Genomic DNA, 13,261 nt, shown 5'->3' on the forward strand with positions numbered 1-13,261 from the left:
TTTGCACAGGACTCTGCTGTGTGTAAAATGCTTTCCTGGGTCTTTGCAACAGCCCCAAGCTGCAGACAAGGCAGATCGTTATCCTGTGAAATCTCAGGGGGACTCTGAGGCTCAGAGAGGAGAAGAAGCTTCCCAGGTCACACCGCTGGCAGGATGAGGACCCAGGGACCTAGATTCTGCCAAAGAAGACCTTGAGCAAGTTTCTATATGGCCCCTCTTGGCCCCAGCAGCACAGCAGGGAAGAAAGGCCATCCTCCCACAGCCAATCCCCCTTTATCCCCTGGGCAACCTCAGAGAAGGGGAAATCGGTGGCACATGGATGTAACTAGAGTTGAGGAACACTAGGGAATGAACTCCTTCTTAGGCCCCACAGGGACAAAAATGGATCCCCTTGTCCCCGCCAACAGGGAAGCGGAATGCCTGGGGCTACACTACTTCTTGAGTAGCTACTGTGCATTCAGGCAGTCTGCAAACATTACCTCCTTTTCTTTTTTTTTTTTTTTTAAGACAGAGTCTGATTCTGTCACCCAGGCTGAAGTGCAGTGGCACGATCTCTGCTCACTGCCACCTCTGTCTCCCAGGTTCAAGCGACTCTCCTGCCTCAGCCTCCAGAATAGCTGGGAATACAGGTGTGCACTACCACGCCCAGCTAATTTTTATATTTTTAGTAGGGGAGGGGTTTTGCCATGTTGGTCGGGCTGGTCTCGAACTTGTGACCTGGTGATCACAAAGTGCTGGGATTATAGGCGTGAGCCACCACGCCTGGCCAAACATTACCTCCTTTTAAACATGACAGCAAACTTCACAGTGGACATTATTCCCCTTTTATAAAATAAGTGAAACTCAGAAAGACGAAGTCATTGCCAAGGCAACACACAGGGATATGTGGAGCCATATTCAAACTCAGGTCTTTTTGACTCCAAAGCCTACGCTATTTCCACTGCCCCTGGGTTGCCACTCCCTGAAACCACCTGGCCCACCGTGCACAGTCTCCCCTGTGGAGGGAGAAGGCACAGACCACAGAGTGAACGTAGGCAGACAGCTCCACGTGGCCTTGAGCAAATCTCGTCCTGGACCCTCAGATAGACTCATGCCCAACACGGGGCTGGGCTCATCGCTTGAGCTCGAGGGTCCTTCTGATGTTTGGCCATCCTTTAAGTCTAACAATCCTGGGCCAAATAGTAATAAAACATTCTATTCAGCTCCAAAAACCCTTCTTTGATTCCTTTCCATGCCCCGCACACAGAGCTGGAAGTCAGAGCGAACATAAGCCACACTTCGTTCTTGTCCTCACCGGGCTCCTAACAAAAGGTGGATGGACCTTGAGAATGACATATGCGCTTCTTCTGACCTCCCATTGCTGTCGGTGAAAATGGGTCATGGAAAGATGGGGAGGTCACAGCCATGACAGCTCAGAGGGCTAGATGCGGGGACTCACCAACCTCCTCTCTCTAGGAAGGGGCAGGGGATCCACGATCCCCACTCTCCTGCCTAGTCTAGAAGCCCCTCATAGAGAGGGGCATAATTAACAGAAGGAGTTCCCTCCCAGCCGCCCGTCTACACTGGGGCATGGGCTTCAACATACAGGACTGTTCTAGGGGCTGGGCTGGGTGTTACACAGACAGTCACACCTCTAAGGCCAAAAGGGAGGTGACAGATGTGAGGAACCCACATGTTGAAGCAGAAGGACCCTCTGGGTAACCTCAATTTCATGCTTGTTCCCAGAGTACCTACTCTGTGCCATTCCTTGTGGCAGGGCCAGGAGAGAAAGACTTCAGAAGTGGAAGTCCCAGCCTTCGAGGGGCTCCCAGGCCACTGGGACAGGTGGACTGTCTCTGGTACAAGGAGAAGTCAAGGGGGCAAGAGCAGGGGAGACAAGGTGCCATTGGGCATGGTGGGGAGCAATCGATTCTGCTTGGGGGACCAGGGAAGGCCACATGGAGATGTCACTGAGAGGGACTTAGAGGGTGGAGGGACTCTGACAAATGGAGTTGGAAGGAGAAAGGCAGGGACAGTTCTACAGAAAGAGCAACAGAAAGTGCATTCCAAAACCCAGCTCAGCCACACTGCAGCCCTGGGCTCACTCAGCTTCTCTGAAGCTATTTCCCCATCTTCAGAATGGAGAAAATAATTCTCTAATCCTGGGAAATACCTTCCTGTGCACGCTCCCCTCACGCCTGCCTTCAAGGACTGCACTCTCTATCTTCTCAGCTACTCTTCCCCCAAACATACCCTTTGGGAAACTAGAAATTTACAGAAGAGATATAAAACATAGAACACAAATGGTGGGACAACCCTTACTGTCAATCAATCAGTATATCCGGACATTTTACCAATAGGGAAACTGAGGCCTAGAGATATTGCTTGACCTGCCCAGGGTCAGGGACCAGAAGGACTAGAAGCTTCTTTTCTATTGCAGCCCTAACCACGTTTGTGAGGGTAACACCTTTGGATCATCTTTCTTTTGAGGGGAAAAGGTCAGCCTTTGCTGTCCACTCCATACCCTGGCTCCTCTCTCCCATTCACGGCAACTTTTTGCATCCACCCTGTTCCACTGGCCATTGCTGTCATGTGTCTGGGTCAGGATTTATGGGCTCAGTCCCCAGCTATGGAAGTAGGTATCAAATGAATGGAATAGCTCCTGCCCCTGAACCAAAGGCCCCAGAATCTGAGGAGGCTTCAGCCTGTCTCACTCATGGGGCCCGAGGGCAGATGTGAAGGAGATGAGGGTCTCAGTTCCTCTGCCCAAGGCAGCCTCCTCCCTGGGGTGCCTGTGTGGAGGACTGACAGGTTAGGGTTTGCCAAGGGAGCCAAGGAATCTCGGTGACTGGCAGGAGAGGACATGGGCCCATGACAAGGTGCATCAAGGACAGGTCATCCTGGGCTGTGAACAACAATTGCTCTCTTGACTAACATCCCTTAAGACCCAAAATTTGAGTGGTAGAAGTCACCAGATGACACCCAGAAGGGCATTTCCAGGCTGAGGCTGTGTCTGCCCGTCATGCAGGGAAGAACAGCTGTCAGGGTTGGGGGCTGCAGCCTGTGTCTCTCTGTGGCTTTGCTTAGACTCCTATTACATCTTCCACTGTGCATGCACCCCTGGATTCTCTAAGGGTTGGGGCTGTTGCTCAGGGGGCAGGCAGTTAGGGGAACTGCTTTGGGGAGAATGTAGGCATCCCAGGCCTCAAAGCAAAGCTACAAAGCCAGGAGCTAGCTGCAGCTTGGCTGTTACCACCTCGCTCGGAGGGCACTGGGAGTGGGAGCGTGAGCGCGCACAGAGGTCAGCAGACATGCCTGCAGCCCGTGGCACTCTAAGCCCCTCCAACCTGCCTCTCTATGTTGGATTGACTGATGCTTCAACCTTGTTGGTTTTCCCAGGACTCTGGGACTGGAGCCGTGTTTTGGCCTCCGCTCACAAGGGGATTGGGTCATGCCACAACACTGTAGGTCCAGCCACCCTGGGAGGAGAGGAGGTCATGTCCAGGGGGGGATCTTGGTGGCACTGAGGGACCTCCATCTGCAGCAAATAACACAAAGCCTCAGACTGGAAAGGACTTCCCGGGCCATCTATCCGGAACTCTTCATCCTATGGAACCACCCTATGGACCACTCTGAGGTCCAGGATGGGGTCCTGCCCCCGACGACCGAGGAGTGAGGGATAGTTTGGAAACCCCGGGTGAGTCAGGAAGGGTTTCCTCTATTTGGGAGGAAACACTGACTTGGAAGCCCTGGGGAACTGGCCCCCACGATAGGGTGGGCAGATGCAAGAGAGGACTCTGCGAGGCCCACCCACCAGGCGCCTCCTCCAAAGCCCACCCATGGTATGGACCACCCCCCAACACCCGTGTGATCCATCCTACATGCACAGTACACATAAAACCAACTCTTAGAGGCCAATTGGAAATTCTTAGCCCTCATTTTGGCCAATAATTGCCAGTGCCTCCCTCAGAAACCATTCCCTGGGCTTCCAGGGAAGCTGAGCAGACCAATGAGAATGACGTCCTGGCTTTTTCTGACCTGCTGTTGCCGTAGGTGAAAAGAGGTCATGGGAAGAGAAGGAGGCAGGTGGCCAGGAGAAAATGGAGGTGAAGGCAAGGTCAGTCCTTCTGAGGGCTTAGGCTCAGAGAATCGAGGTTGCTCTTGACAGTCTCTCCAAGATTTTCTAAAACACCAGGCCAATCAAGACGTTTTTCAAAGCTCCAAGTCGTAAACAAGGGGCAACAGCAGAGCCGTCATTCTCCCATTGTAGTGGGTACCAGCATTACCCGGGGAGGTTGTAAAAATGCAGATTCCCAGCCCCTTCTCCAGATTCAGAAGGACTGGGTAAGGGCCCGGCACCCGCATTCTAACAAGCCCTCTGCTTCTGTGATTCAGGCAGGGTGGGAGAGACCAGAGGAAGATACGCTAAGAACCAGGGTGGCCTGAGTCACCAGGGAAGTTAAATTGTCACAAGCAGTGACATCTCGGGCCCCGCATCAACAACGAGGCTGTGCAGCCTCCAGGGCTCAGAGGAGCACAGGAGTGTGTGCCTACTGCCTCTGCAGCATGAGGATCCGGGGACAAGCCCAACATGGAGCTGAGGGAGTGTCAAGATGCTACGCCTGAGCATGCAGCTGTGCTCCAACGAGTGAGCCAGGCGAGAAGGCTTGGGTGGGAGAGGAGCTGGGGCAGAGCCAAGGGATCAGAGAAGCAGGAATGGACAGCAGCACAGGATGGAGTGAACAGGAGGGTGGTCTGGGAGAGCCAGACACAGTGGGCTCTGAGCTCCCAGCCGCACAGGGCCTGCCTGGGGCACAACAGAACACTTGCTGAGGGAGGAAGGCAAACACTACGGAGTCTGCACAGGCCATTACAGCTGTGCAAAGAACACTCACAAAGAGAGCTTGGAGAGATGTAAATAGCTACATTTCGTGATCATCGGGTTCCTTTTTTCCATAAACTTTGCCTAAGTTCATAATAAAAAAAATAAACACGGGCAAATTACACTTACTTCACCCAGTCATTTCTGGGTGGTAAGTTCTGTATTAAATTCAGAATTCATACGCGTGGGTTGAACTTCCCATATCAGCCAAAAAGCGAGCCCTGGGGAGAAGGGCAGATGTGGAGGTTGTTATACTCTCAAACAGCCCCTTAAATGGCCCTCTGTCCCCACCAATTCTCTGTCATCACTGCGTCCCCTGCTATGTCCATCCCGCTCATACCAGAAAAATCTGCGCTCACAAGCAGGCAGAGGTTTGCCAAATTCAATTCTTCTGGTTTATTTGTGGGAAATGGGAGTGAGAGGAAGTCTGATGTAGTGGAAAGAGCACTAGACAAGAAGTCAAAATATTTGAGTTAATTTCAAGCACTCACTTGTCCTTTGTGAAATTGGGAAGTGACTTTCCCCAGCAGGCCCTCGCTTCTCCCAACTGCATAGTACAGGAGGGCATGAGTGATCTGTTGCTGCATCACGATGGCCCCCAAATGCGGCAGCTTAAAGCGACAAACATCTACCATCTCACAGTTTCTTGGGGTTAGGAATCTGGGAGTGGCTGAGTTGGGTGGTTCTGGCACAAGATCTCTTATGAGGCTGCAGTCAAGATGTGCTCTGGGGCCACAGTCAGCCCGAGGTTACAGTGGGGGAAGATCAGCTTCCAGGATCACACGCATGGCTGTTGGCAGACTCAGAAGATCCATTTCCAAGCTCCTGCATGTGGTTGTTGGCAGGCCTCAGTTTCTTATGACAGAGGCCTCCCCCTAGGTTGCCTCATGACATGGAAACTGGCTTTCCCCAGAGCAAGTGATGAAAGAGACAGAGACAGAGACAGAGACAGAGACAGAGACAGAGACAGATGGAGAACCCAAGACAGAAGCTACTGCCTTTCCATAATCTAATTTCGGAATTATCCAAGTGACTATTTCCAAGTGACATCCATCATTTCTGCCATATTCTAGTCTCTAGTGGACTAGTCACCAACTCCAGTCCACACTCAAGAAGAGGATAATTAAGCTCCGCCTCTTGAGGGGTGTAGTGTCAATGAATTTGTAGACACATCTTCAGAGCCACCACAAGGAGTTTGATCCAGTGACTCTCAAGGTTCCAGGTCTGTGGTTATGACGCCCCGATCCCTGGTACATTAGGCATGGTGAAGAGAAAAGGACCAGAGGTGTCTGCTGCACTTCGTCTAGGTGGGCTGTGTTCTCCTCTCAGTAGAGGGGGCCTGGAGATGAGGGATGGAGATTGAGGAGGTGTGCTTCTCAGATGGATGCACACATCTGGAGGGCTGCCATTCTCCCCAATGATCCCCAAGCCTTAGAGTGACTGCCGAAAGGGTTCTATAAGCACATGGCTGGGGCCTCTGACTTGAGTGCCTCCTGCTGCAGCAAGGAACAAGGTTCCACCCGCTCAGTGGATCTGGGGTCTGGCGGCTGGACATGGAACCCTTCCCAGGGACAAGCCAACCAGAGATGTTCCCAGGCTCCGTCTTTATTCCAAAGGAATAGGGAGGACCAATGCCAGGGCATTAGGGGATGAACCAGGAAGGGTGTAAGCCCAATCCTCTCCTACTGACCAAGGAAAGAAGGGAACAGAAAATCACTTAACATCAGGTTCTCCTAAGAGGTCTTGCAGTGCGAGGTAAATCACCTAAGCTTGGTGTTGGGTACATCTGGGTTTCAGTACGGGCTCTGTCACTACTACCTATGTCCCAGCCACTCTAGGCTTGTTTCCTTACCTACAAAATGTGCATAATGAGAGATTTCATATCATAGAGCTGGGAAAATTAGAGAATCCATTTAAGACCCTTAGAGTAGTGACTAGCACATAATTAGCACTCAATATTATTATTGTTAAGTTTGCAAAAGATATCAGAGCTCATTCAGCTCCACTGCACACCTTGCATAGGAATTCCCTCCAACTGATGATGATAGAGGATGCTTGGGCCACTGCTTTGAGGACCTGGGATCTCACTACCTGCCCTGGCAGCCTAGGACCACAGGGCCAGCCCACAGATGGGCAGCTCACACTGGACCCAGAGCCATAATCAGCCTTTCTACGGCTGCCTCCTCCACTTCTCTTCCTTTTGTAACCCAATAGCAAACAATAGTTTTGAATTTAAAGTAGCCCTGTAACACAGGAAAGGAAAAATAAAAGTGCACCCTCCTATTTTAGCTTAGGTGAAATCTGCTTGGCAATCCCCCAAACGTTTGACTCAGCCTCACTTGCATCTTGTTTCATTTTAAAGCCAAGTTATAACTGACACATGCGATCGAAAGCCCGGTATGTTACAGGGATGGGGAAGGAGGATGCCTGCCCATAAGACTAAGTACGACCATTCAGACTGGGAGTAAGCAGATGCGTGTGCTGTCGAGTATATTGGCCGGAGAGGTGTATCTATAACTGGAAGGACACGTGTGTGTGTGTGTGTGTGTATACAGGAGGGTGAGTGGTGTGGACTGTTATGTGCGTGTGTGGATAAGTAGGGGGAGTGTATGCCTGGGCGTAGATGTGTGATGCGCGTGTGTGGATAAGTTGGGGGAGTGTGTGATGCGCGTGTGTGGATAAGTTGGGGGAGTGTATGCCTGGGTGTAGGTGTGTGGGTGTATGTTGGGTGTGTGTAAGTATGTGGGTATGGGTGAGGGCTATCCTGGTGCTCCCTGGCCAGGGCACAGTGATCCCCAACTGCAGAACAGCCACTAATTTGGGAGTGCATTTCTTTTTATACCAACTTCCCCACTCTTTTCAGGAAGCTGCATTTGTTGGCCAGGATTTGAGATTTCTTTCACTGAGGCCTCCGGAGAGACATTCCAACGGTGAACACAGAGCACAAACTCAAGAAATAAAACCACATGTACTGCCTCAAAGGCAACAAGGCAGGAGGGTGTAAAAAACCCCAGGGGGAGATACAAAGGCTCAAAGTTCTGCAACCCACACCCCTTGGAAAGAGAGTAGGGTCAGCTCCTCTCCCACCCCAAACTCCCAGTTTGAATTTTTTAAAAAAACAGCCTTATAAGCAAACATCTGCCACTCTCCGGCTTCTGAATGAAAGGTGAAGATCAGAAAAAGGAATCTTTGTGTTTTCATTAGGTATTTTAGCAAATGCAATGAGGACATTCAGATTTGATTTCCCTGTTTTGTACACACACATAAGTCGGTGCTAAGAGGATTACTTTTCCTGGAGCTGCGTCCTTCCTAAAGGCCCCCGTCAAAAGAGACCCTTGTTCAACAGTGTTTTCTCTGATTCCTCTGGCTTTTCTTCCTTGCCTCAATGTGCACACATCTAGCTTGCTCCTAAATCCACCCACCTCACAGACTTTGGGATAACGATGGTCCCGGCACTCCATTCTCCTCCTGCCCGGGTTCCTTAATAAAGCTGGAGATGAACATTAGTGCTTGGTTCAGCAGCATCCGAAAGGGAAACGGTGGCCTCCTCGAGCCCTCGATGCCCCATAGAAAAATGTAGCCTTTTTGCCTCTGCTCCGATGAATGGCTTTTCGAGGGTTTTCATTAGGACCGGGTCTGCTGGTGCAGAAAGCCTCACAGATGTTGACATTTTTTCATCCCTGGGTTAAGATGTCTTCCATAAGCTTTTATTCCTCATTTGTTACTTCTTTATTATCCGGGAGGTTTTGCCTCCTCCCTCTTCTCCTTTCTCTGAAGAGAGCAGCGGTAGCTGAGCCCGTCATTATCTCGGCCCTTTTCTCCTGCCTCCAGAGGCAGCCCGGGACTCGGGTCCCATTGTGGCAAACAGCAGGTAGCTGAGGCAGGCCGGGTCACTCCCCAGACCCTTTTGTGCGGCCGTCCCCTCCTCCCTGCAGCTTGGTTCTGGGGATGTAAAAGGTCAGGAGCAGCCAAGCTTCCATACCTGAGCTTTTGTCTGGGGCTGGAGGCAAATGATTTTAGAAGCAATTTCTTGGAAAGCAGCCTGGAGACTCCCGTCTCCCTCGTTAAAATGCACAGCTGTACTCCTAGCCCACTCCTTGGGGCTGGGGGTGAGGGGACAGGGGGATTAGCTCAGATCATCTGGATCCAAAAATGCCCTGAGAAAAAAACTTTCTACCCAGAGGATGGTTGAGACAATTCAAATAGAAGCCTAGAGCCCTGAGATGCTAAGCAGTGTTTTGTGATAAACAGAGTGTGGTGTTCTGTCACTTTTGACTCTTCTTTGTTTTTAGTCGTAGCAGCCTGCAGCCTCCCTGCAACCTCTCTTTCCTTACCTGTCAAATAGAAATGATCCACCCTCCCTACCTGCCTCACACAGTTTACTAGTTATTCTGTGGATCCAAGGAGGTGATATAGAAACTGTTTTGCAAGCCATAAGATTCCATACGGCATTCACCATTTTTGCCCTCTGCTGGCTGTATGGACCCTGACTTGAATATAAGCCATCCCATAATGCAGTTAATTTTTCTGAAAATTATAGAGCAGAGATACAGGCAGATTTAAGGGCCTTAGGGCATGTGGTTCCAAGCCCTGCCCAAGCTTATGCTTTGCAGGTGAGGAAGGTCTCGGGGCAAGACAGGCTTTCATGGTGGTAAATTCCTTGAGGTTTGATGTAGCTCCCCTTAGAAGGCAGCTATGGGAAGCCACCTGCAGAAAGCTGGTGTGCAGATTTATGTAGGGAAAGATAAAAAGGGCCCAGGGGTGCTCACCAGCCACCAGCTTAATATAAGCCTTTGCAACCTGGCTGCCGGAAGAGCCAATGGGAGCTTAAGCTGCCTACCGGAAAGAAGGGGGTCCCCCAGGCTCCACCCAGGGTGCTGAGACCTTTCTGGACATCACATCTGGAGAGAACTGTGCAGGTACAGAATTCTGCTCAAGGGAAAGAGACTAGGATCATGAGAGGACTAGAAATCTCACTCTTACAAACACTGGCTGGGGAAGCTGAGGCTGCTTCCCCTATTTGAGAGTTCAGGGATATTCGTAGGGAAGGGGAATCGGGCTCATTCTGTGTAGCCCTAGGGACAGACACTGGGACTGCAGAGTGGAAGCTGAAATGAAAGTGTTTTGAGCACATGAGAGGAAAATATTTCAAATGCCCAGAATTTAAGAGAGAGTGAACAATCTATCACTAAGGGTAATCTAGCAAAGTGGGATACTGGGGAGAAGATTCATCATCCCTGAGCATTCATTTAGGGCTTACTCTGTGTCAGGCCCAACATGTCCTTTCTAATCATGAAATCACTCCATTCTTTGATTTATTAAGAAATATAACATTCCTTTTAAACAACCAGGTCTCACAACTCACTATCACGATGGCAACACCAACGGGGATGGTGCCAAACCATTAATGAGAAGCCAGCCCCATGATCCAAACACCTCCTACCAGGCCCCACCTGCAGCACTGGGGATTACATTTCAACATGAGACTTGGGCAGGGAAATAGATCCAAACCGTATCAACAAACATAGGCAAATCACATCTATTTTAATATACTAGCAATGAATACATGGACAACAAATATAAAATATAATGTATAATCAAGAAAATGAAATATTCAGGTGTTAATATAACATATAATCAAGAAAATGAAATATTTAGGTGTAAATATAACTAAAGATGTCCAGCACTTATGTGTTGAAAACATCAAAATGCTAATGAAAGAAATCAAAGAAAAATCTAAGTAAATGGTTGACATATGATAGTCATGGATAGGAAGAGTCAAAATAGTAATGATGTCAAATTTCCCCAAACTGATATACAGGTGCAACACAATTCCAATCAAAATCTCAGCAAGATTTCTGTAGATGTAGACAACAAGCTTATTCTAAATGTATATGAAAAAGCAAAGGGAGTTGAATAAGTAAAACAGTTTGGGGAAAATAATTTGGGAAAAGTCATATTACCTGATTTTAAGACTGATTAGATAGCATCAGTAACCAAGTCAGCATGAGGAATAGATACAAAGATCAATGAAACAGAATAGAGAACCCAGAAATGGGTCCTAGATATTCTAGGTATGAGCCCCACACAAGTAGGGCCAACTCATTTTTGACAAAGGTGCAAAAGCAATTCAATGGAGAAGGGATAGCCTTTTTAAGAAACAGTACTGGAGCAAATAGATATTCTTGGGCAAATAAGAAGAAAGAAAAAGAAAGGAACCTCAACCCCAAAATCATACCTGTTACAAAAATTAATTAAAAATGGACCATAGATTTAAATGTAAAACATAAAACTATAAAACTTTCAGAAGATAACATAAGGACAAATCTTCAGGACCTGTGGTTTAGTGAAGAGTTCATAGACCAAAAGCAAAAAAAAAAAAAAGACAGAAAAAAACTTTTAAGTGATAAATTGGACTTTATCAACACTACAAACTTTTGCTCTATAAAAGCCCCTCTTAAGAGGAAGAAAAGACAAGTTATACACTGGGAGAAAATATTTGCAAACAGCATATCTGAAAAAGGACTCATATCATATCTAGAATATATAAAGAATTCTTAAAACTGAAGAGTAAAAAAATCAAATAATTTAAGTAGACAAGTGGTAAAAGATATATGAAGAAAAATTTTAATGAAGAGTATATAAAAATAAAAAATAAGCAGATGAAAAGATGTTAAACATCACTAACCAATAAAGAAATGCAAATAAAGACCGCAATTAGATATCACCACATATCTATTAGATCAAGTAAAATTTCAAAATAGCCACAATACCAAATCATGGCCAGGATGTGGGGAAACTGGATTTCTTATACATTGCTGTTGGTAATGTAAAATGATTCAGTCACTCTGGAAAACAGCTTGAAAGTTTCTTTTAAAATTACCATACCTCACAGCAATTGCACTTCTAGGTATTTATCCCAGAGAAATGAAAATGTATGTCAACATTAAAACCTATACGTAATTGTGCTAAGCCACTTCATTTTTATTATCCCCAACAGGAAACAACCAAAATGTTCTCCAACAGGTGAATGGTGAAATAAACGGTGGAACATGTATACTACAGAAAACTGCTCGGCAATGAAAAGGAATGAATTATTGATACATGCAATAGTTTGAACTGATCTCAAAGTCATTATGTTAAATGAGAAAAAAAAAAGCCAAGTTCAAAAGGTGACATACTGTATGATTCCACTTATATAACACTCTTGAAATGACAAAATTATAGTGTTGGAAAACAGGTTAGTGGTTGCCAGAGGTTAGGGATGGTTGGAGAGACGGGGATAGGCGTGACTATAAAGAGGCAGCACAAGAAAGATTTTTATGGTGATGAAATAATTCTGCATATTGACTGTGAGGTGCTTACAAATATACACATATGATAAGATGACATAGAACTATACACACACATTGTACCAGTGTCAAATTCATAGTTTTAATATTATACTATAACCATCTAAAATGTAACCACGGGGGGAAACTGAGTGAAGAGCACATGGATCCTCTTTGTACTACCTTTGTAACTTCCTGTGAACTTATAATTATTTCAAAATAAAAAGTTTAATTAAAAATCAGTTGCATTTCTATATACAAGTAATGAACAATTGGGAAATAAAGGTTTAAAAACTTCATTTACAAATAGTACTTAAAAATACTTAGAAATGAATTTAAAGAAAGATGTTCCAGACCTATAACCTTAAAACTACAAAATATTATTAAGGGAAATTAAAGAAAACCTAAATAAATGGAGAGGCATACCATGTTCATGGATTTGAAGATGCAATATTGTTAAAAGTTTTTTCTAAAAACTGACCTATAGACTCAATACAATCCTCATCAAAATCATAACAGACTATTTTGGAGAAACTGATAAATTGATTCTAAAATAATATGAAAAAGCAAAGAGTTAAAAATTGCCAAAATAACTTAAAAAATAAAAGCAAGTTTGAAGTGCTTGCATTACCTGATTTCAGGATTACTATAAAACCACAATAATCAAAATTGTATGGCATTGGCATGGTTATAGATCAGTAGAACAGAGTAGAGAGTGCAGGAATAGACTTGCATTTATATGCTCAATTAATTTTTTTTACAAAAGTGCCAAGACAATTGAATGAGGAATGTATAGTCTTTTTACAAAGTGGTACTGGATATCTTTATGGGGACGAATTAAGTTTTAAACCTTATTTCACATCATATGCAAAATGATCAAAATAGATAATAGACCTAAACATAAGAGCTAAAACAATAAGAATTTCTGGAAGAAAACAGCAGAAAATCTTTGTGATATTGTGTTGGTAAAGATTACCTAAACATGACACACAAAGATTATCTAAACTTAACACAAACAGCAGTAATCATAAAAGAAAAATATAATAAAATAGATTTCATAAAAATTAAA

The 13,261-nt window shown here is 46.2% G+C and overlaps 2 annotated features.

Moving 5' to 3' along the window:
• Positions 4,082-4,583: an enhancer, noted in NCBI's record as "H3K4me1 hESC enhancer chr3:194000115-194000616 (GRCh37/hg19 assembly coordinates)". NCBI's record gives its function as "activates a minimal SCP1, AML or CMV promoter by ChIP-STARR-seq in primed H9 embryonic stem cells {active_cell/tissue: H9 hESC(primed)}" and the evidence as "EXISTENCE:reporter gene assay evidence [ECO:0000049][PMID:30033119]".
• Positions 4,584-5,083: an enhancer, noted in NCBI's record as "H3K4me1 hESC enhancer chr3:194000617-194001116 (GRCh37/hg19 assembly coordinates)". NCBI's record gives its function as "activates a minimal SCP1, AML or CMV promoter by ChIP-STARR-seq in primed H9 embryonic stem cells {active_cell/tissue: H9 hESC(primed)}" and the evidence as "EXISTENCE:reporter gene assay evidence [ECO:0000049][PMID:30033119]".

This window comes from Homo sapiens, chromosome 3 (genome assembly GCF_000001405.40).
Source record: "Homo sapiens chromosome 3, GRCh38.p14 Primary Assembly".
Lineage (NCBI taxonomy): Eukaryota > Metazoa > Chordata > Mammalia > Primates > Hominidae > Homo > Homo sapiens.